The sequence below is a fragment of the Homo sapiens genome, chromosome 9 (genome assembly GCF_000001405.40).
Source record: "Homo sapiens chromosome 9, GRCh38.p14 Primary Assembly".
Lineage (NCBI taxonomy): Eukaryota > Metazoa > Chordata > Mammalia > Primates > Hominidae > Homo > Homo sapiens.
Genome location: NC_000009.12, coordinates 17,854,783 through 17,878,459, shown reverse-complemented (window position 1 = coordinate 17,878,459; position 23,677 = coordinate 17,854,783). Strand labels below are relative to the sequence as shown.

At 40.0% G+C, this 23,677-nt stretch overlaps 1 annotated feature.

Annotated features, from left to right (window-relative positions):
• Window positions 15,101-15,200: an enhancer, noted in NCBI's record as "active region_28217". NCBI's record gives its function as "activates an Ori minimal core promoter by ATAC-STARR-seq in GM12878 lymphoblastoid cells {active_cell/tissue: GM12878}" and the evidence as "EXISTENCE:reporter gene assay evidence [ECO:0000049][PMID:35858748]".

Below are 23,677 nucleotides of genomic sequence, written 5' to 3'. Positions count from 1 at the left end.
GTGTGCCTAATGAATAAGTTGGCCCTGGTCCCAGGAGAGCAGTAGGGCCTATTTACCAAATTATTACAGAAGTGTTTCAGAATTGCAGCTATAGCCATGGCCATACTGTTGTGTACCAGCTGAATATCAACCCTGTACCTGGCATAGACCACTTAAATGTACATTGTCAGAGGAAGGGCCTAATATATATACAATTATTGTTATTTGTACATGTTACTATATATGCACAATTGATAAAGAAACCACAGCAATATTTTGTACGTTTGATTGACACACAGGTTCATACAAATGTATAGGAAATGTTTGGGAAGGATAAACACAAAATTGGGTACAATGGCTGCCCTTGGAGAAGGAAGGAGCCATTTAGAGTTACAAAAGATGGTCAAAGGGGAATTTTACTTTATTTGAATGTATTAATTGCTTTATAGAAGAATTTATCTCATGCATTACTTACATAAATAAAACATTTAACATTTAGTTAAAGGCTAAATATACCATCTGCCTAGAGAAGGCTGATGATAAGCCCAGAAGACCTGTCTTGAAGAACTGCAATGTTTATAGCTGAACAGCTAAACACAGAGTCCTTGGAGCCTGACTGTCCTGGCTGTGGCCCAGCTCTGTCACTGACAAATTACTTAGCCCCTCTATGTCACAGTTTCCTCAGCTGTATAATGGAAGAAGTAATCGTAAACTACCTTATGGGGTTATTGTAAGGATTAAATAAATTAATATATGCAAAACTCTTGGAATAGTCCCTGCTGCATGTTAGACTATGTTTTAGCTCAAGTTATTGTGAGTGTTATCATCGATTATTTCTATGTTTAACAAGTTCTCCTAAGTGTTCCCTGAAGTTAGTAGTACAGAAGCTGGAAAGTCCCTGCTGCCTATGCACAGACTCAAGGATTTGGTGCAAGCCAGTGTGGGGAGAAGTGAAAGGCGTTCCCAGGAATGAAGAGTAATCAAAGTTTGAGTTACTGAGGTTGGCAGTGAGGTCAACATGAGCTGCTAGCCCTCTTGGATAAGGGGAGCAGCTATGCACTCACTGGGCAGTCCATTACAGAAAAGAGAGGCAGGTTTCATTCTGTCCAAACCACAACATACTGAGGCCTATGTGCCAGGCCCTGGGCTAGATGCTGAGGGTGCTGAGGAAGAATACCACGTTACTATGTTCCTTTAAGGACTGCATCCTCTTGAACAGAAACCCAGAAGAAGATTCAAAACTCACCACAGCATCATGCCCCTCCTCAAAGCACTGAGGGGTCTTTTGCCAAAATGAATGCCTGCTTCTTTGAGCTTTCTTCATTATATCTAAAGCGAAAATCACAGAGTTTTCATTTTACTGACAACAGATAATATACTGACCATGAAATTGACATGCAGATTAATTAGAGTTTATGATCAGCCACACGAAAGAAATATAGCAGGCACTGTTATAAAGGATTATGAAACAAGAGGATCCCTTTACATACAGCAATAGAGGAAAGGGTGTCTGAGAAGGTGAGATTTAAGCAAGGAGCCATCTATGCGGGAGGAAGACAGTTCCAGTCAAAGCAAGTCTAACCTGTAAAGGCTATGAATTGGAAATGACTTTGCTATGTGTGAGGCTGGTATGGCTAGATAGGTCCAAGGCAAAAGGAAATAAAGTCAGAAACGTAAACTGTGGCCAGATGATGTTGATTCAAAGTGAAAATATGAACCAAGTGTCTTAAGACAGAAACAACAGGATCTGATATTTCTCCACTCTTCTCCACATTTGTGAAAATAAAAGAATCACTAATTAAGATATTTGCCTACAGAGACGCTACAGGACAATCTGTTTCCAGGCAATAATGGAGCAAAGAAAGGCACTTTATCAGATATTTACAAATACTTTTCACATAATTTTTCCCTTTATTCATCATATAATTTTATTTGAACTACTAACATTTTAAGGTATTATTGTTGACATTTTGTAGATAAGGAAAGAGACTCAAAAAAGTTTGGGATCTTACTTAAGGTCACATAGTGAGTATGTGGCTAAACTAGGTGGGTAATTTAGGTTTTATGGCTCTTGTCTTCTTTCTGCTAGACTAGACCAAGAGGGACAGGATGAAGACTCATAACATCTTCCTTACTGTGGTTACTGTGGAGTTCATCAGTGATGAGGGAGAAGAGAATACAGTGTTCCTGAGGTGGAAGAATAAGTGTGGCATATACAGTGCAGAGATTGTCTGGGAATGTCTTACCCTGCATGCTGCATGAGGGGGCAAGGGAGACAAGTATAAGAAAACCACAGCCCTCAAAGTCATGCCAAATTCAGTTAGGCCTGGTGTGATCAACTGTGTAATTGCTAAAGCTGGAATCTATGGCCTCTTGTATGTTCCAACTCATTCCCGCAGAAAATTTGGAAAAGCTTTGCATCATGTGTTCAACTGGGCTGTGTCTTCCACAGGCTCTAGCTCATTGTTTTATTTAGCATATGCCAGAATCTGGCAAGTTTACCTAAATCAACACCAAATTCCAGGAGTTTGCTGACATAAGATCTCCTTTTTTAAAATTTTTTTTTCTTCCCCCTACTATTCTTCATTCAAGAAAAGCATTAGCATGGAGTGACTGAGAGAGTCTGCCTGCGGGAGGGAGTGTTTCAAACAGTTCAAGACCCTGTGCTTCTCTTCCAAATTACACCTATCTACAAGCTCTCAGGAGAGGAGAGTTGATTAAAGATTGGTGCCTAATAGCATCAGAGATCAGCAAGAGTCCAGGTTTCTGGCATCTTTCCATCATTGTTGCTATACTGGTGGGTAGTCCTGCTGCTTAACCCATGCCGTATCAAAGCAAGCTACAGTCTCCAACATAAAGCTCCAGCATGTGAAAATCCTGCTAAATACTGGGTGGAGTACAGCTGGGTGTCCCAAATTATTGATGTGCATCACTGATGGTTTGTAATTCATATATGGGGATATGTGGGAGAATAATTTTTGTAGATATGGCTTTTTTTTTTTTTTTTTTTGAGACAGGGTCTGGCTCTGTCATCCAGGCTGAAGTGCAGTGACACAATCTTGGCTCACCACAACCTTCACTGCCTGGGCTCAAGGGATCCTCCCACATCAGCCTCAAAAGTAACTGGGACTACAGGCACATGCCACCATGCCTGGCTAATTTTTGTATTTTTTTGTAAACATGGGGTTTTGCCATTCTGCCCAGGCTGGTCTTGAACTCATGAGCTCAAGGGATCCACATGCCTCAGCCTCCCAAAGTGCTGGAATTACAAATGTGAGCCACTGCGCCTGGCCAGATATGGCATATTTTAATGCACATTCAAAAAGAATATAATTAGAATTTCAAACTTGTGATCTACATAAACATATTTGCTAACGGAGAGGTTGCAGTACCTGGTATCATGGTGATTCACGTTACACTGCCCACAAAAGTTACTGGTGTGGTATCAGGTGCTACAAAGCTATAGTAAAGTCATGATGGTAGTGCCCCACTGCCTGGCAATTAGAAAATATTAATGTAGCACAAAGTGCACTGAATTGAGACTGGCTAACATAGGCCAATTGAGAAATGTTTCAGCATTAACAATAGTGTCCTTGAAGACAGGAACTAATATAGTTTGGGTATGTGTCCCTGTCCAAATCTCACGTTGAACTGTAATCCCCAGTATTGGAGGTGTGGCCCGGTGGGAGGTGATTGGATCATGGGGCTGAATTTCTCATGAATGGTTTAGCACCATCTCCTTGGTTCCATGCTTGCAATAGTGAATGTCTTCTTGCAAAATCTGGCTGTTTAGAAGTGTGTGGCATCCCTCCCTCTCTCTTGCTCCTGCTCTAGCCATGTGACGTACCTGCTCCCCCTTCTCCTTCTGCCATGATTGTAAGTTTCCTGAGGCCTCCTCAGAAGGTGAGCAGATGCCAGCATCATGCTTCCTGTAAAGCCTACAGAACCACAAGCCAATTAAACCTCTTTTCTTTATAAATTACCCAGTCTCAGGCATTTCAATGCAAGAACAGCCTAATACAGGAACAATGTTTTCTTAAAAACTGTATTAGTTTCCTATTGCTGCTGTAATAAATAGTCACAAACAGTGGTTTAAAGCAACACGAATCTATTTTCTCACAGCAGAAGTCTGAAATGTGCCTTACAACAGCAAAATCATGGTGTTGGCAAAGCTGCATTCCTTCTGGAGGCTCTAGGGGAGAATCTCTCATCTCTCCTTTGCTTTTTCCAGTTTCTAGAGGCTGCCAGAATTCCTTTTCTCATAACCACTCCACTCTTTGCATCTGTCATCATCTCTCTCTCTCTCTGACTGGCTCTTCTGCCTCCTTTCACTTGTAAAGGACACCTGTGGCTACATTGGGCCCACCTGTATAATTCAGAATACTCGCTCCACCTCTATATTCTGAATTTAATCCCAGCTGCATAGTCTACTTTCAGCCATGAAGAAGTAGCAAAGATTTGATTTTCCTTCCCCAAATAAACAATTAGAAAGCTAGGGGGAAAAAAATGAAACAGCTGTTCGCAGCCATTGGCCAACATGCACAGCAGTATTCTGATTTCTGAGAAAAGGGGAAAAAGAGAGATGGTTCCTACAGTTATGCTTGCTTTCTGCCTGAAATCACATTGCAGACCATGAAGGAAGGTGGGGGTGTCCCAAGCATGGCATGGCAGGTTTGCTAAGTTAAGGAGAGAGAGAATCAGACTTCAGGAAGCCTAAAATAGCAAAAAGTTGCAAGGAAGTTCTGGGAGCAGGGCCCTGTGCAGAAAAATAGTTTCTGAAATCTGAATAGAGGTCCTCTTGAGTCTTAGTTGAATACTAAGATCTTATGCACAGGATGGAAAATCACGGGACTAGGCAAGCAGCAGCTCAGGAGTTATGAACTGAATGGTTTACAGAGCTCACCTGGGGCTGAGCTGAAAAATGAATGAAAAATGAATGTATCTCTGTGATGTGTGAGATAATAACAAAGGGTCTAACATATGTATACTTACAGTCTGAGACGGGGGAGAACAGGAGTGAAAGAATAAAAATTGTGGGAGAAATAATGGCTGAAATTTACTCCAAATTTGATGATACAAAAAGCTCAATGAACCCAATGAAAAATATATAAGAAATAAAAAATAACAGGAGGTATTATATTCCTGACCAGATGAGACAGAAAGTCTTTACCACTCCAGGCACTCAGTAGAAACACCAGAAAGGCTATACTTTAGAAGGGGATTTAAATATCCGTAACAGTGTAGGGTACTGTAGAATCACCTTAATAAGTTTTAAAAAGTCTCAAGAGGGTCAAAATGAACAGCAAACTGAACCACAAAAGCAATGCCAGCACTCTTTAAAGGGTGACAACAAAATCCAGACAGTTGGTGACATAATATTCACAAGTTTCAGCATAAAATAAAATATTATTAAACATTCCAAAGCAGGAAAACGCAACTCATAACCAAGATAAAAGTGTTTCAAAAGAAATAGATCAGCAAATGATGAAAATGATAAAATTGCAATCAAAGGCATTAAAAACTATTTTAACCACATTCAAATATTTAATAAAACACATGAACGTAGTGAGGATATAAATGGAAAATATAAAACTAAACCAAATGAAATATCTAGGAAAAAAAACAACAATATCTTAAATGAAAAGGATTAAACACTCCAAAGGAAAAGATTAATGAAACTGAAGACACAGTAACACACATTATCCAAATGAAGCAGAAATGTAGGGAAAAGACTGAAACAATGAGTGATCTCTCTGATTTGTGAGATAATAACAAGGGGTCTAACATGTATTTTATAGCCTGAGAAGGGGAGAAGGAATGAAAGAATACAAATTTTGGGAGAAATAATGGCCGAAATTTGTTCCAAATCTGATGACACAAAAAGCTCAGTGAGCCCAAAGAAAAATATATACAAAATAAAAACGAAAAAATAGTTCAAGGTCCAGTACATACTAATCAAATTTCTTTTAAAAAGTCATGAAAGAGGCCAGACACAGTGGCTCACACCTGTAATCCCAGTACATTAGGAGGCCGAGGCAGATGTATCACTTGAGGTCAAGAGACTAGCCTGGCTGACGTGGTGAAACCCCATCTCTACTAAAAATACGAAAATAATTAGCTGGGTGTGGTGGTGCACACCTGTAGTCCCAGCTACTCAGAAGGCTGAGGCAGGAGAATGGCTTGAACCTGGGAGGTGGAGGTTACAGTGAGCTGAGATCACACCACTGCATTCCAGCCTGGGCAACAGAACAAGACTCTGTCGGAGAGGGCGGGTGGGGGAAAGAAGCATAAAAGAAAAATCTTAAAAGCAGAGAAAAAAAGATGGCATTACTTAAGTGGAACTAGGGTAACACATACAATAGATTTCTTGGCAGTAACTATGAAGCTCAAAGACAAAGGAATAACATCTTTAACATGCTAAAAGTTGGAAAGAAAACAGAAAAAAATACCTATCAACCTATAATTCCAAATCAAGCAAAAACATCTTCCTAAAATAAGCAGCAATATAGACTTTTTTAGACAAACAGAAAAATCAGATAGAATTCATTTCCAGTCAAAGCATGAGCACTCTAGCAATGGTATTTGAATAAATATTTAAAACTTGTCCATTTTTATTTTACTTAAAGATAAAGCAAAACTAGTAGAAATGTATTGTGAAATGAATGACATACATATGTTTAAAGTAAAAATAAGAAAAATGTATTAGGGATTTTATAATATGTATGACCTTAATAGCCAAAGTAATGACAATAGAAATGAAAATATATTGTGGTAAGGTTCTTTCTTCAAGCATGAAATAGTGTAGTATCATTTTAAAATAGAAAGCGAAAATTTTAAGAGGAAGATTGTAAATCTAGAGCAACTGTTAAAAACTAAATCAACAAGTTCTGGATAATGACCTGTTAAGTGGTCATAAAATAAAATCATGAAAAATTCTCAATTAATCCAAAAGAAGGCAGAAAATAAGGAAAAACAAGAAAGAAAGAACAGATGTGACAAAAACCAAACAGCAAGATGGCTGACTTCAACCCAACCAGATCAGTAATCACCTTAAGTGTGAATGTAGTAAACTACAATAAGGTGGAGACTTTCATAATGAATAAAAAAGCAAGATCAACTCTATGCTGTCTATTTAAAGACATGAATCTTAATGTAAAGACACAAATAGGTTAAAAGTAAAAGGGTGGAAAAATATGCCATAGAAACACTAATCGTGATCATGACAGCACACAGCTGTCTTACTGTTCTTTCTTGTTTTTTATATGAGGTGGTGCTATGCAATAATTCCCAGAACAAAATGGGTCCAAGAAATGTGCATGTGACACTTGTGAAACTGAAGAACCAAAGATGTTAACAGGTATGGGGCTAAGAGTACACAGGAGAGACAGGCATAGGTTTGCATTTTATTTGGTATGGAATTAAAGCTAAACAAAGCATTTTGATGAAGTTCAAAGCAGGGATTTTTGCCTGTAGTTTGGGTCCCCTCTGAAGCAGTTTGACTTCTCATCTGTTTATGAAGCATGTACAGTTTCAGGCCTCCTCCTCAGCAACAGAGAGCCCGTCCAAAAAGCGTTAACCAAGAATTAGATAGAGCAGGCCAGGGACATTCTAAACAATGATTTCATACTCTGGGTTTATCCTGGGTTTCCCTGAGTTTCCAGGGTAACTATTTATTGTAAAGCCTTGGCATCTTTTGGGTTAAGCTATAGGGCAAAATCCTATAAAATTAGTGAAACAGAACTCTTATGGGTTCATGAGTGTATCAAGCAGGCCAAGACAAGGTTTGGTCTGGGACTACATCTAGCTCCTCTACTCCTACTCCCTCTGTGATTCCCCTGGGATGGAGAGGCAGTGGAATAGCAAAGGTTTACTGAATCTTCAGTGAAATCTTCAGTGATTCTATTTTGTCACTGGGGACTGTCTAGTCTAGAGAGAAATAGAGGAAAAACTTTGCAAGTCCTGATATTAATTCACTCTAGCAAGGATCATGATAAGAACCTAATCTGGCAATATTTCTGGGGAACACTGGAATAAGGAGCATGGCCACTAGGAAAGTTATGTGCATGAGAGCATCTCTGCCATCTGGAAGAAAGATACTTCAGTAGAAATATTGATAATGCTCTCTTTACCTCCTCTCTCCACTCCTCACGAAGTCTCAGAGGTGAAGCCTCCTGGACAAAGGCAGGCAGAAGAAATCTCTGCCAGCAGCTGAGAGGAAGGTCCCTGGAAAATAAACTAGCTGCTCTTAAGGCATAGAATTAATGAGTACATCTCAGAATAGAGGTTCAATTAGGAATGCTAACTACATATTACAGACTGACGTTACACAGTGACCCAGCCGTTAGGGATCCTCTCAAGAATGCTTCAATAGCAAGAGAGATATACAGATGTCATCCCCCTACAAACTCTCAGCATATATACATTCACAGTCATCAAGTGATATCCCAAAGCAAAATACTACGAACTCTGCCTGCTACCACAGGTGCTGTCATTGCTCATATTTTAGGTTCAACAGTCCTCTCGTTTGTTAGTCTACACTGTGATGCCTCTGTTTCTTTTATTTCTGGAAGTGCTTAATTTTTGATAAGTACAAAGGCACCAAGAACTTTCAAAGTGCTATTTAAAAATGTTCTGATGGCCATGGAAACAAAATTCAAAAGCAGAAAAAAATCCAAATTGCCAAGAAAACGACAGAGGTCCACAGATTCCCAGGATGAGCCATTCATCTGTACAAGTAATTTTGAAGGACGAAGAACAAATCATGCAAGGTGAAAATCTCTAAGCAAAGGACAGTAATCAGCAAGAAACAAAGAAAAGTGGAGGATGAAATATTTACTCTTAATGTCAAAATCTATTAGCCTAATGTTAATTCAGAAGAAGTCCAGGAGCATGATGGAGAACTTAACTGTAAAAGTCTGCTACAGAAACTTTTATTTTTCAGTGTTTCTGATGGACTGCACAGCATCAAAGGGAGTGTTGATGAGTGTGGATACAGTAGCTGCTAAAGTATTCCGGATATAACTTGCAGAGATCATGAGGCAAGGTGCGGTGGGGTGTAGGTAGAAGATGGTCCTATTACATTAGAACTTCAATATGGGCAAAACTGGTTTTACTTTTTCAAAAGAAGATGCTCAAAAGAACATATGTTAGCACAAAAGAAAATTACATGCCTAGTTTTAAACCTTTAATCACGAAGGACTTGGGAACAAATGGACCTAGAAACAGACTTTGAATGCTGTTTGTGTAAACAGAGTTATTTGGAATGGATTAAAGCCACTTCGTGGTGCTCTAATTGAAGTGTCATCACTGGGCCTGGCCCAATGCAGGGAAGCATCAGTTCTCAACTGGGATGAGAACAGCAACAGTTCTTAGCAGAGTACTTGGTCCCCAGCTTCATACGTGGCGTGGTGGAAGAAACAGGGAGCAGGGGTCTCTTGGAACCACAGGGAGATTTTAGAAAAGAACTTGACAAGGAAAACCTGTGTTCTTCCCATTTCTACTCATTAGCACAAAATGGGGTTAGAATTGGCAGAGGAGAAATCCCAGGGCCTTTATGATTTCACCTCCACGGCTGGTGTGGTCAATAAAAAAGGGCCACTGCTCTGCCATGCCTACAGAGGAAGTAGATTTAAAAGACTCTGAAGTCTTGGCTTCCATAGATGTTCAAAATGTACTTTTACTGATTGAGTGATAGGTGTGCAGTGATGCTGGGAAGAGAGAATTCATTGAACATAATTACTTTACTATCGCTAAGTAGTAGAATTCCTCCAAGGAAAGAACCGTCTTTGGGCTTATTTGGGAATGCAGTTAAGGACAGACTTAGATAGGTTTGAACTGAAACATAATATTAGCTAAACTGATCTCTATATAAAATAAATAAGAATTTGAGGGGAGGAGAATGAGGTGTAAGCTGGAGAGAAGGATGAGACATGAGCTGGAGAGGAGAAGGAAGAATGATGAATGAGTTGGAGACAAACAGCAACATGGCAAAGCAAATATTCCTGGTTCCAGGAATTATCACAGTAAGAAGAAAGATGTGAAGTTTCCATTATAGATTTTTATATTGTGTAATCCTAGTCCCAAACTGTTAGTGAAGACTGCCATACAGTCAGCGCACTTTGGTTGAGAAGGGATTAGGGCTGGGCATGGTGGCTCATGCCTGTAATGCCAGAACTTTGGGAGGCCAATGCAGGAGGATCCTTTGAGTCCAAGAATTCAAGACCAGCATGGGCAACAAAGTGAGACCCCCATATCTACAAAAAACATTTTTTAAAAAATAGCCAGGTGTAGTTGCACACACCTGCAGTCTCAGCTACTTGGGAGCCTGAGGCTACAGGATCACCGAAGCCCAAGAGTTTAAGTTTACGGTGTGCCATGATCACACCACTGGCCACTGCACTCTAGTGTGGGCAACAGAGTGAGACTCTGTCTCTAAAGAAAAGAAAGAAGGTGGGGTGGGAGAGAGAGAAAGAAAGAGAGAGAGAGAGAGAAGGGTAGGGGAAGGGAGGGGAAGGGAAGGGAGGGAAGGCAGGGGAGGATTGGACACAAAGGGGGATGGGATTGTGCCCAGTGGGATGACATGGTGAAGGAAAGGAACAGGAGGAAACAGCCAAGATGGCCCAGAGAATTCATTGCAAGTAATAATTCAGAGTCAGAGCACCAAGAGAAAGTCCCCTGCCCTAACACCAGACACACACACACACACACACACACCCCTATTCACTGCCACCAACATCACCACCACCACCAAGAGCCTCTAGATATGTTAGAAAAGACACCAGATATACTACTATATTTTTCATGGGGTTCATACCCATTGTTGCTTAAATCTTAAAGGGCAAAGAAGTCCAAGCAATTAGAGATCTTGGACACATCCAAGAACTAAAATCTGAGTCTGCACTCTAAGCAGGCCACCCTGAACTCACACTGTCTGTCTAACAACAGCACTGTTCCAAATCCTAGGTTATCCTTTTATTCTTCTTAATGACTTCCAGAGCATTTCTCAAAGATGAGAAGAAAAGCCCCAAAAGAAAAAAATCAGGTAGATTGCAGGCCTTGACGTAGCCAACCCACCTCTATTAGAGCAATCCCTGGGCAATTTCCCAGTGCCTCTGGGAGAAAGGTTCATTGCTTCTAGTTCTTCTGGCAGAGCCACTGTATGTAAATATATTTACTTCTCATTTTCCACTGGCATGGGAATAGGATGTAGAAATCTCCAGCTACAAGTGCTGATATTTAGAGCTTATGATAAGTCAGACAATTTAAAATACCTAGAAGTTAAGGTAAGTGTGTGTTGTATGTCTTAGAGGTGCCCAACTGCAAAGAACTCTCCATTGTTAGAGACAAATTTTCGAAAGGAGGTTTCTAATACTCATTCAGAGACCTGTAATTTAATGTGTTTTTGTTTTTTGCTTAAACTCTGATGGAATATAGAATTGAATATGGAATCTAACCAAGAGGGATAAACCCTACAGCTTTGGTGTTGTCTGTATTTTCTGATTAGAGTGTGCCGCTAGATTATTTGCACACTCAGAATACATCATGACATTTGCATACGACATCTTGACAGACTCCGCCATGGGAGACTGTCTCTTCAGCTTTTCTCAAAACAGCCTGTAATTCCCCTGTCTCTCACAAACTGTGGCCAAGAACTTTGTCTTTATTTCTTGAGGCTTTTTTCAACATGGCATCTTTTTGCTCTAATAATTTTGCAAAGTAGCTTTCTCTTCACAATAAGTTGGTTCCTGAAAAGCGGTATTATTGGATTATTGGAAATCAAATATGTATTCGATGTAACCAGGAAACTTATCCTTTATGGAAACTCTAGCAAAAAAAAAAAAAAAAAAAAGAATTTGTGTAATATAAACAATAGCTCTGAATTTATTTGTTCTATACGTTTGTATGGGAGCAGATTTTCTTAAAGGCAGTGATGTGTAGATACTTTTAAATGTGATGTTATTTTTTTTGTCATCAGATAGCTATTTAAAAATTTCCTTTTATTTCTCCAACCTCAATTAGACTAGAAGTCTACAATCCTATAGCAAATTGTAGCCACACTAGTGTCCCACTGGCACTCCCTCTCTTCATGAAACGACTTTCTAATTGGCTTAAATATAGAATAATTGTGTCACAAAAGAAAAATGCCCACTACCATTAAACCCAGCACTCCGGACTATTAACATTAACGAACAGGGAGGAAGGACTGAGGAAGACTGACTCCTCTAAACCCCCAACCTAGGATTAAATGTGTGCTAATCTATCCTTGTATCAGTCTGTAAAAGCATTCTGCTGCTGCCTCAGCCTTCACACTGCACAGAATCAGTTCATATATATTTCCCATTTGGGGTTTTGGGCAAAGTTCCATTGAGGTCTCGTCCAAGAAACTCCCCCAGGGCCTTCAGGGTCATAAGTCCTGCAGGTTTATGATGGCTTGATTTTAACTTCTGACTACACTGGGCAAGATTTTACATACCTGATGATAGCAAGCCTCACTCTGGGCCAAAAAGCTCTGCAATCCAATTGGTGGTAAGTCCTGCTAATTCCCTAAAGCCTAGCAAGGAAGCTGAGAAGAAGGATAAAACACACAAAAAAATAGAATTGTTGCTAGGCATATGGAATCTGGCCCTCTGAAAGTGTTAGAGGATTGACTTGAGAATATGTATGCTTATGAATTTTTATGTAGAGAGCGTGTCTTATGAATTCTATGGCCATGCTGCCCTTGATGATGTGTCCCCTAAAATCACTTTGAAAATCTTGTGGAATCAAAGACCTGAATCTTGAAAGTCATCACCAATAAGGAGGCAAAGGACCAACAAACCTCCTTGACTTTTGACAACACGCTTGCTCGCTAACTTTTGTCAACATGCTTACATCTTCTTTAGAGTTTCCTGACCATTCTTTCTCCTTCAAACCTGCTCAGTTCTTACAATTAAGTTAAAGATTCTTAAATGTTTAGAAATTTATTTTCTAGAAAATATTTTTGGGTGAGGTTTATAATTCGGGTTAATGATCTCAACCCTACATTTCTTTTGCTTCCTAGGAAAGGATGAAAAAGCACAAACAATTTCATTTATCATTATTTGTTGTTTTCTTCCTTTTCCCAAATTATATTTGGACCCAAACATCAATCTATAGATGAGGAGAGGCTCTGCTTGCAAAGAGAGCTCAGAGTTCCCTAACAAGACTTACTCTGCTTCACTCCAACATTCTGTCAAAATGTCACTTCTCTAACAGCCTTTCTCTTCCAGTTCTAACCTATAGCTATACTTATAATCACTAAAGTATTCCACATTTCTCTTAGAAAATGTAAGAATATGAGTTTTAATCAGCATGGAGATATGTATAATCACATCTGATGCAATGTTTCATGGACATATTGTAGGACATGGTACAAGGGACTGTTGGCACCCTTCATCCAGGACCAGAAGGGGTCCGCAGACAGACTGATTCTGCTACCATCAGAGTTTTCTGCTTGTTTTTGTTTCAAGTGATTTTTTCTCTACATTCCTTCAGCATTGTTGTTAAATGTTTCACTTGTTAGAGTCACCTTGGTGGTTATGATGATGGTATTTTTAAAACCCTTATTTGAGTAATTAACAAATATTGAATTTTCATCAAGTGTTCAGCGTATGCTACAAGTTGTAGAATATACATAAGCCATGGAGTATATGTTTGGTTCCCTCAAGAAAGTCACAATATAGATGAAGAAAGGGAGCTAATGGCATGCAACAATACCCAGCATACAAGGTGGTACATGACAAGGGTCAATAGTTCATCTCTGCTCAATGGTTCAGAACCTATTCTCGATCCAATACCATTTTGAAGTTCACATGAATACTATGTAGTCTCTCCCCAGAAGATGCATATGGTTCATATGCAAAATATTTCATATTGATTCCAGAGAAGAAAACGGCAGTCTATTAGCTTTTGAAATCCATTCATGAACCCAGGAGCAGATTATGGATCCCTCCCTTAGAGAACTGCAAAAGTTCAGAAGAGAAGAAGCTCAGTTAATTCTGGAGGAAGTTAAAGGTGGTTTAGAGGAGACATTGGAATATAAGGTTGATCTTGGATAATGGATGAGATTTAGGAGAAGAGAAATGAAATTAATTTTTATGAGACTCATAGTAGATCATTTCCATAGATTATCTCATTTAATCTGCAGAGCAATGCAGTGAAGAAGGTCCTGTGTCTCCCATGCTATATATAAATAAGTGGAGACTGGGGAGGTGCAATAAAGGGCCCCAAATTCCTCTTAGCTATTTAATTCCTGAGTTGTACTGAAACTCATGTGCATATGAAAGCAGATCCCAAGCAATTTCCACTACACACCCCCTTGAAGAGGAGAAACAATAAATCTTCTATATTCAAATGAGTATGTCCTCTAGTGTGCATACATGATCAGATGGAGACATTGGGTGTGGGGAGAAGTGGAAGAATTCTTTCTTTCCCAGTTTTCCAGGAAAATTAAATTAAATGAGGCCATGATTGAGACAGGCACTCTTCTGTGATTATGTTACCTATTATACTACCTTGGAACTAAGAATATGTAGTAAAAATAGGCGTGTGTTATGGTGAACCTTTTTTCAGGTCATTATATAGTTAGTGTGGTCGGATAGGATTTTCTTTTTTTCAAATCTTTGCTCTGTCCCTATAATAGGGAAGCACACCTTTACCCATTTTCACGTAACATGTCTATACTTTCTAGTAGGCAGAGTATACAGCTTCACCCCATTGACCTTGGACTTGTGAATTAGTTACTTTGACCAATGGACTGTGAATGGAAATGTCAGAGTGCCAGTTCTGAGCAGAAGCTTCTAAGAGAGGCATTTTTCTCACTTATCCCAACCTTCTGCCCTCCTTCACAAGGTCAACCTGCTCCATGAAGGACATCCTGTGGCTGTTCCTCCAACTGGGTGATAGGATGAGAAGACACATGGAGCAGGTATCAAACCAATCTATAGTCCAGCAGCAACTCCAGCTGATCCCAATCAAGCCAACAGAGCTGCAGCTGACTTGCTGAACCATGAAAACTGTTTCATGTGGTGAGTGGTTGGGATTTTGAGGTTGTTACCACAGAAAACCCCAACTTGTACTCGTTCGTCAAGCATGACCTCAAGATTTTGAGAGACCAATCAAGAGTCTAAGTGTCACCAAAGAAACTCATATGACATCAGGGGAAATTCCAGAATCAACCCAAAGTAGTCCAGTTGCCTGAAATCAGGGACAATGTAGACAAGACAGGATTTTTGGCCTGATCTTTTTCTCTCCTATCAGCATAAGGCTCAGCCTCCAGGAAGATAGCAGGAGGCTAAATGCCATTTGCAGATTTAGCTGTTGGTGAGATGGTATTCACCAGAGATAAGCTCAAGAATCTGATTTGATTGTAGGCTTTTCCTTCTCTTCCTCGTTCTCTATGTGGAGCAGGGAAGTAAAATGGATATAAGACAGAAAAAAATACAGGAAGATAAAAAGCACTTAGGCAGCCCACAATGTTGACAACCAGAGTGAATGAGAGCACGCTGTACTTTTAGAATCTGCACACGCACACGGAAACAGGCATACACATTTTCTAGCTCCTACTAATGATTTCTGTGAGATCATCATTCCAATCATTGGCCACACAATCTCAATGCCAACCCTGAGAAGGACTAATTAGCATCCTCACATATGTAATTCTCTACTGAGAGCTACGTAGATGATGGAGTATCAGTGAGCAGACACAATACCACCAACTTCTTATTAGTCCAGCCCCAACACCTAATTACTTTAATGCATTTAAAAATCAATATGTAGCCTCAGCAAAAAAAGAATTTTAAAGATATTTCAGTTTTTTTAATTTGATCCTGCCTCTTAGCCATCCATGCTATTCTACTAAAACACAATGAACCAGGCTTACAGTCCTTGACTTCTGGCAAAAGAGAAGAACAACAGGAGCAAACAAACTTCCAAATATCTTTTTATTCCACCCAACCAAACTCATCCTTTAGCTCTTACTTGAAATCACCAGTGTGCAGAGCAGTCCATCAAACTGAGTCTAGACTGACACTTCGTTAAATTCAAGTTTTGTAAAGCAAGCTGCTAGGACTCTGTGGATTTGGCTGCAGGACTTCGTTGGGCTTCAGCAACTCAAATGTTGGAGCCCAAGCCCTGTTCCAGTGCCAAACATTTGTCCACACGCTGTTCCCATGCAGCAAAGACTCAGCTCTGTCAACATCCTTGTGACTAGAGGAAGGCACTCCTCTTCCCATCCCACATGTGGGAAGTGTCCCCTGGTAATGAAGTCATACTGGGCTGAATACACATGCCTGAAATGAGCTGCAGCACAAATCCTCAGGAGAGACAGGGAAATTGGTCAACGTCCCACAGCAACTGACCCTTGAGCAAGGAAAACACAATCTGCTCTTGGGGTTGCCTGGCTTTGTCATTCAGGTGTTTCCAAGTTCTGCTATTAGATCATTACAATTTACAGAATCACTCCACATAAGGTGAATGGGTTAGAAGATCAGATTGTTTCATCAATGTAGTCTTTCTGTCAATGCAGTCTCTCCAGACAATGAGGACTTTTGTTCCATGAAACCTTATTAGCCATCTCTCTGCCTTAGAGAATGAGTCCCAGCTGAATAGACCTTTCTTTCCTGTCATGTACATGATGCGTTATCTACAATGATATCAACATAACCATATTTTTAACTAAAAGCCTTTTTACTTTTAAGAAATGAAGACTGAGAGAAAGTTAGGTTTAAAATGGCATCTGGCTTAGAGGCACTTAATCACTCAATATTTCCCTAAAATCTAACAAAATACTTATAAAGACACACAAAAAAATTGAAAACTTATGCCACCACCAAAACAGGAACTAAGTAATCTATTTTCAGAATCCAGGATCAATTTTCATTAACTGCAAGACTGGAAAAATGGGATTAAGAGCATGATCCAAGATCCCTTGTGCTATGACCACTCAAAATAAGAGTTAGCTTCTCCCTCTTACCCCCAACACAGACAGGAAGTAGATACAAAGTCCCTGCACCCTCTCAAAATCCAAGCCCTGGCTCAGAAATCCAACATAGATACTAACTGGATCCGGAGGGCCTCTCTCTAGGTGGGTGATACACTTTGAGGCCTGGTGCAATCCTTTAATCCATCCTTCATTCCTGCCCAGATCTCTCTTTTCTGTATCTAGTCAGAGATGGGAATTCCAAGAAGGTGGATGGAAGGTACAATCCCCTAAAGTAAAACACAATAAGCAGGGTTCCTTCTCAGAAGCCATCTTGGAAGCAGTACATGCTGAGGATTACAGTCTTCTAAGACTTCCACCAGGATCAGCGTCAGGAGATGGGAGTGAGGTATGCTCAACTAACAGGAGCCCTTGAGATTTCCCAGCCTAGAGTTTGAGAATGGGTCTGGAAGCTGTGTGTGCTAACACACTGTTCAGTTGCTCATCCAAAGAAGATCAAAGACAAACAAACTTTGTCTTTGAAAAACATTGTATCCCTCCTTCTTTAAAAATAAGAAAAGAGTGGAGAAAATACTTAACATGGCTGGGCGTGGTGGCTCACGCCTGAAATCCCAGCACTTTGGGAAGCCGAGGCATGCGGATCATGAGGTCAGGAGATCGAGACCATCCTGGCCAACATGGTGAAACCCCCGTCTCTACTAAAAATACAAAAATTAGCTGGGCGTGGTGGCAGGCACCTGTAATCCCAGCTACTTGAGAGGCTGAGGCAGGAGAATCACTTGAACCCAGGAGGCGGAGGTTGCAGTGAGCCGAGATCGTGCCACTGCACTCCAGCCTGGTGACAGAGCGAGGCTCCATTTCAAAAAAGAAAAAAGAAAAAAAAAAAAACTTAACATAAGACCTATTAAAATACCAGACCATTAAAAGAGACCCTAACACTAGATTCACAAGATTAACCAAAATTGGAAGACAATTTACTATAGTACCCAGAAGGAAAAGACCTAGAGGAACAAAAAACTCATTGAAAATAGGCTAAAATGCTAAAGCACCAAGTAATAGAAAATGAATGGTAAGTAGGTAAGACAGAAACTGCCATGAAACTAAACATTGAATAGCAGAATTTCAACCTGTATTAGAAATTAAGAAAAAATTGACACTGAGCAAAAATTAAATTAGCGTAAGACAGTATTATGTAATAGGTGTTCAATAGCTATTTGTTGAATATACAATAGAGAGGTCTAAAAGAATACTGATGGTGCTATGACCTCTCCAAAAATGCTTGGTTGTTCAGTGGAACTGATTGGAGGGAAAAATGAACTCTTCAGTAGCTGCTGAGTTTGCAATTTCCTTTTGGTGAATGTTACATGAGTGGCTCACGGTGGGGGAGGTAGAATGTAAAGAAACAACTTGGCACGTAAGCAGGACCCTAGAATTGACACATACTTCTCTAACTAGTGAGCCTCAGGTGCATCAAGACCAAGACTGTGTGTGTCTCCCCAGACCCGAGTGGAAATGAGGGGATACAGCAATGGGGAACTTATTTTGCACTAAAACTGCCCAGTTTTATCAAGGAATAGACAGCAGACCTCCTTAAAACTCTCTTAACAAGTAAACGGAGAGCCCACATGGTGAGTCCCACTTTCATGGTCGATGTGGAAAAACTTTTGGGATGTCGATGAACATCTGGAGAGTCAGCGAGCACAAGCTGGATAATGGCTGGATAATGACACACTCCATGTGTTAAGCACCTAAGTTTAGTCCCTGGTTTCATGTTAGATATGTTTATTCTGAATTCCTTGTTGTGCGACTCCCACAAATCAAATCATGCTACAGTACACACTTAATTGGGGTTGAAATTCTTCCAAACATGTTTGGTGTCTGCTAGCTTCCTCTTTATTTGAGATTAATCAAAAGACATTGATGAAAATCTCCACCACCAGCCATCTAAAGGGAAATGGATGAAGTGCTAAAACAATAACAACCAGTGGTAAGACCGTAACAAATATCATCAATCAGACCACTGGCAGGCTGGCCATACCTCCAGCTGCGAGGCTGTCAGGGCTCATCATTTTAATAGGGCTGGGCTGGAGCAGAGGGTCAAAAGCAGGCTTCCCAGGAGAGCCAAGCCACTGACTCATTGGTTGGTCCTTTTCCCCTTCAATTAAACTCCATGACATGCACGATCAGGAGGCTGGAGCTATTGAGGTAGCCTCACCCTGGTTGGCTACCCTGCACAGGGGAGAGGTTTCCAAGTTGGTGGGTGGGTGGTAGTTGTGTGGGCATAGGTGTGGTGAAGTGAAAAGAGGATGAAGGACTTTGAAATCAGACTCATGGCCAATTCTGGTTTTGCCACTTAAGAGCTGTGTGATTTAATCTCTCTGAGCCTCTGTTTTTTCAACTGTAAAATGAGGATATTAGTAAAATTAGTCTATTACCTTGCAGAGTTGTTGAGAGGAGTAAATAATGAATATACACTTAGGATTGCAGTCAACATCAAAGCTCTTTGGAGGGATGAAGAGTTTGTGGGTGGCAGCCTGTGGAACAGCCCAGCAAATAAGTAGCTAGTGAGAAGAAACAATGGTGCTTACAGAATCAGAACACTGATTTTGGACTCCAACACAGTTAGGCTCAAATCCTGGCTTGTCCTCTTGGAAGCTCTGTGAGCACAGGAATGATCCTTAAGGCACCACAACACATGCACAAACATACACTGTGGACACACACACAAACACATACAACTAATTGCTTCATCCATAAAGCAAAAATAACAGGGGTACCTACATGGAAGAGTTTGATGGAGGATCAAATGAGATCACATTTGTAAAGTGCTTTGTGTAATACCTGGCATACAGACAGAGCTCCACAAATAAGCTATGATATTTACAATGATTAGTAAATGCAGCTTGTATATACTAATATATGACATATTTTATTCAACATATGACTATGTAATAATGCAATATAATACATGTTATAACATACAATATAGTTGTATGTAGTTCGTCCCATATATAACGTTACAGTATTTATTTCCTATGAATTATGAAAGACGCAAGCCTAAATTGTTGGTTTAGGAAATCTCCCACATATGTTTGATGTTGGCTAACTTGTTCAAGTGGTTAAAATAACTAATAACTGTATGTAAGCATACAAACACATGCATCTATTAGAGTGACTTTCCAAGAACCCTTGTTGATTTTTATTACTGAACACTTACTACGGGTCAGGAACTGTGCTATGCACTTTGCATACATTATTTTAAATTAATCCTTATACATCCTACTCATGGGGTTACTTTATCACGATAACACTATTATTAGAATCAGAGAGTATGGGTCTTGATATTATCCCACCTCCATCCCCTAAAATAAAATGAATGTGCTTAAAAATATTCCCCATGGGGGGATGAGCTACTCACTTACTGATGATACCACGAAGGTGTGGAATTTTTTTCAGGAACCGTAAACTCAGAGTCATGATCATGTTGATCGTACCTGCACGACACAAAACTACCTTTTAGGAGAAAGAAGCCTTAGAGACAAAATGGTGTTGTGCGACTGGATAGTCCATGAACACCTGACCAGCCCACCAGATCTGCCCAAGAGAATTCTCAGGAAGCTCAGAGGACAGGTAAGTGGCAAAACGCCCAAAGCCCTTATCGTTATTGGCCCTGAGCACCAATCAGGGACCCCTCACCCCCAACCGCAGAGAGGCAAGAATGCCACTGAAATTCAAGTTCTTGGCAACATCAATTTTTAAAAGGAAAAACTAACTCAATATTGCCTGTGTGGTTACCAAGGTCATCCAGGGGAGAGGCTCAAACTGCAATCAAGTGAATGATGAAGGGGGACTCTGAAAGCAATCCAGTAGCCCAGATCTGATGGGCATCTACTCGGCAAGCCCTGGCCAGAGGCAGCAGAGCAAGCCATGTGGGAGCTGGAATTGCTGCCTTTCCCATGGTTCTCTCTGAATTTTGAGGCCTCTGGACCTTTTCCAACATGTCCATAATTTAGTTATTTATGACCTCAAAAGACGCAAATAATTCAAACATACTAGGTACTGCAAAGCCCCAGTATTGGATCAATCACCCAGATATAGTACGATATATATATATATATATATACACACACACACACACATACACATATCAGAAAAGATTTGTAACATTTCTTCCTGGAACAATGTGAACATTTTTGTGCTCTTTGACACTGGTGATATTCTAGTTGTAAGTGAATAGGCGCTTCTGTTTGAACAGAAATGTGAGTCTAAAGCATTATGTTCTTGTTTGACTGTCACATAGAGCCCATCATCACAAATCATTTAAGAGACTAAGACAAGACCTGTCAAGTAGTTAAAGTAATTGATAAATGTGGGAAGAGACTGACTTAGGAAGGGAATGATGCAATTATGTTCAAAGAAGAGTGATTCTAGTTTTGCATTGTCCATCGCTATGTTCAAAGTTCTTGTGGAGTCGGACCTGGACAGAGGCAGGACTGGAAAAGCAGAAGAGCAGGGAACAAAAGCAGCAGAGGCGATGTGAGACAAAGAGAAGGCAGGTAGGGAGTTAAACAGAACCTAGGCCAGCAGAGAATCTAGCTTGTTCCCACCCCCTCACAAGCTGGAGCCCACCTCATTCCCCAGGAGCCCCTCTCCTGCTGGTCAGCATCCTGGGGGCAGCTACTCCATTCCTCAGCCAGCAAAATAACGGCCCTAACTACTCCAACCCCTTAGGCCACATTTCCTCCTGACTTGACCTTCTCTTCAACTCAGCCCTTCAATACAAGTCCAGGATTCAGGGAGGGGAAAAGCCCCTCTCAAAATGAACATTCAAGCCTAAGAGGTCAGCATTCTAAATGAAAAAGTTAAGCCCCTCTTGCGATCTATTAGTGAAGAAGTTATAAGTTTCTCTGGAATTCACAGTAAGTGAAAAACGTAAGGTCGGTATAGCTGATACAAATTCTAACAAATATCCCTTCCATGCTAAAGAATCACAATCTTTGTTTCTCCTTAGAGGGCAGGTGACACTCTCCATGGCCCTGCGGAAGGAATTTTAAAAATATATTGGATTTCAGGTAAAATAGCACAACAAATCCTGATTACAAAATATTTTCCTTCTGGTACCTAACAAAATGCATTAAAAATTTATAAACCAATAATCAAAAACAGCCAAAAAAGGCAAAAGGATTAAACTTCATAACATAAATGTTAAGAAAATGTCAGTGAGAGAAAAACAACAAAAGATTCCTTTGTGGCTTGCTTTCTAACCCCACCCTTCTAGAAATAATAGTAAAGAAAGAAGAACTGACAAAATTCTGTGCTTCTTAGAAATACCTCCTAACTTGAAAGAAGCAGCCTGTGGGAGAGAATGGGCAGCTCAGGGAAAAGTCAAGGAAAAGTGTTAAAGGGTAGAAGGCTGTACATGCCTGAAGGATCCAAGGCTGAGGCCGGAAATGCTGCCTGGGCTCTGAGCTGCTTGGGGAACAGCCCAAAATCATAGGAGTGGAGTGTATTTCTGCAGAAGTGGGGCCTCCTAACAGAGAATTAAAAAAACAAAAACAAAAAAGCCAGAGAATTCACGTCCCATGACAAAGATTGTTTTCAGCCCCCAGATAATCTCTTTTGCTTTCCCTAATCCTTACAGAAAAGTGGACAGAAATCTAAACTTATCCTCAAACTGCAGCTGAGAGAGGAAGAGAAGTAGGCTTAGAAAATGACAAAAGGGTGGCAAGAAGTGTGTGGTCATAAGCTCTCAGAGCAAAGAGAAGACTGGTTAGAGCTACCTATGTTGTACATTAAATATAAACAAGAAGAGAAGAGGAATGGCAACTATACAAACTTATGAGAAAAAAAAGGAAAAGAAAACGACACAAAGCAACATAACAGGCAAAAGACAGATATGAACCTAGTCTCAAGGAAAACCTGTGCCAAAAAACAGAATGATACTCCTTGGAAATGCTTTAAGATACAACATTTTAAAAATATCTTAATTCAATATATGAGGATAATAAAACTACAGAATGAGTTGAAAATACACACTGCAAAACTAGGAAACTAATTGATTACCAAAACAAGAGTATGCCATATCTAAGGAGTAATAGCAACAAACAAAATAGATATGTCTGGATTCATTAACTTGAAAGAAGGCTTGAATTTATCACAGCATATATAGATGAGAATGACAAAGTGATTATAGCAAATAGAGAAGAGATGGTATATATAGAGAGAATAGATCAAGAAATGATCTGCCACTTCATACCCATTAGGTAGCTATTATTAAAACAAAAACAAAAAACAGAAGACAAGAATAGGTGAGGATATGGAGAAATTAGAATATTCATGCAATGTTGGTTGGAATGTAAAATTGTGCAGCCACTGTGGACAATGGTATGGCAGTTCCTCAAAAAATTAAATATGATCCAGCAATTCTACTTCTGGGTATATACCCAAAAGAATTGGAGGTGGAAACTCAAACAGATATTGGTGTACCCATGTTTATAGCAGCATTATTCACAATAGCCAAAAGACAGAAGCAACCCAAGTGCCCACTGACAGATAAAAGGATAAACAAAATGTGGTGATATATATACAACGGAATATAAGCCTTAAAAAGGAATGAAATTCTCACACATACAACAGTAGATGAACCTTGAAAACATTATATTAAGTGAAATAAGCTAGTCATAAAAGGACAAGTATTGTCTGATCCCACTTATATGAGTTACCTAAAGTAGTTAAATTCAT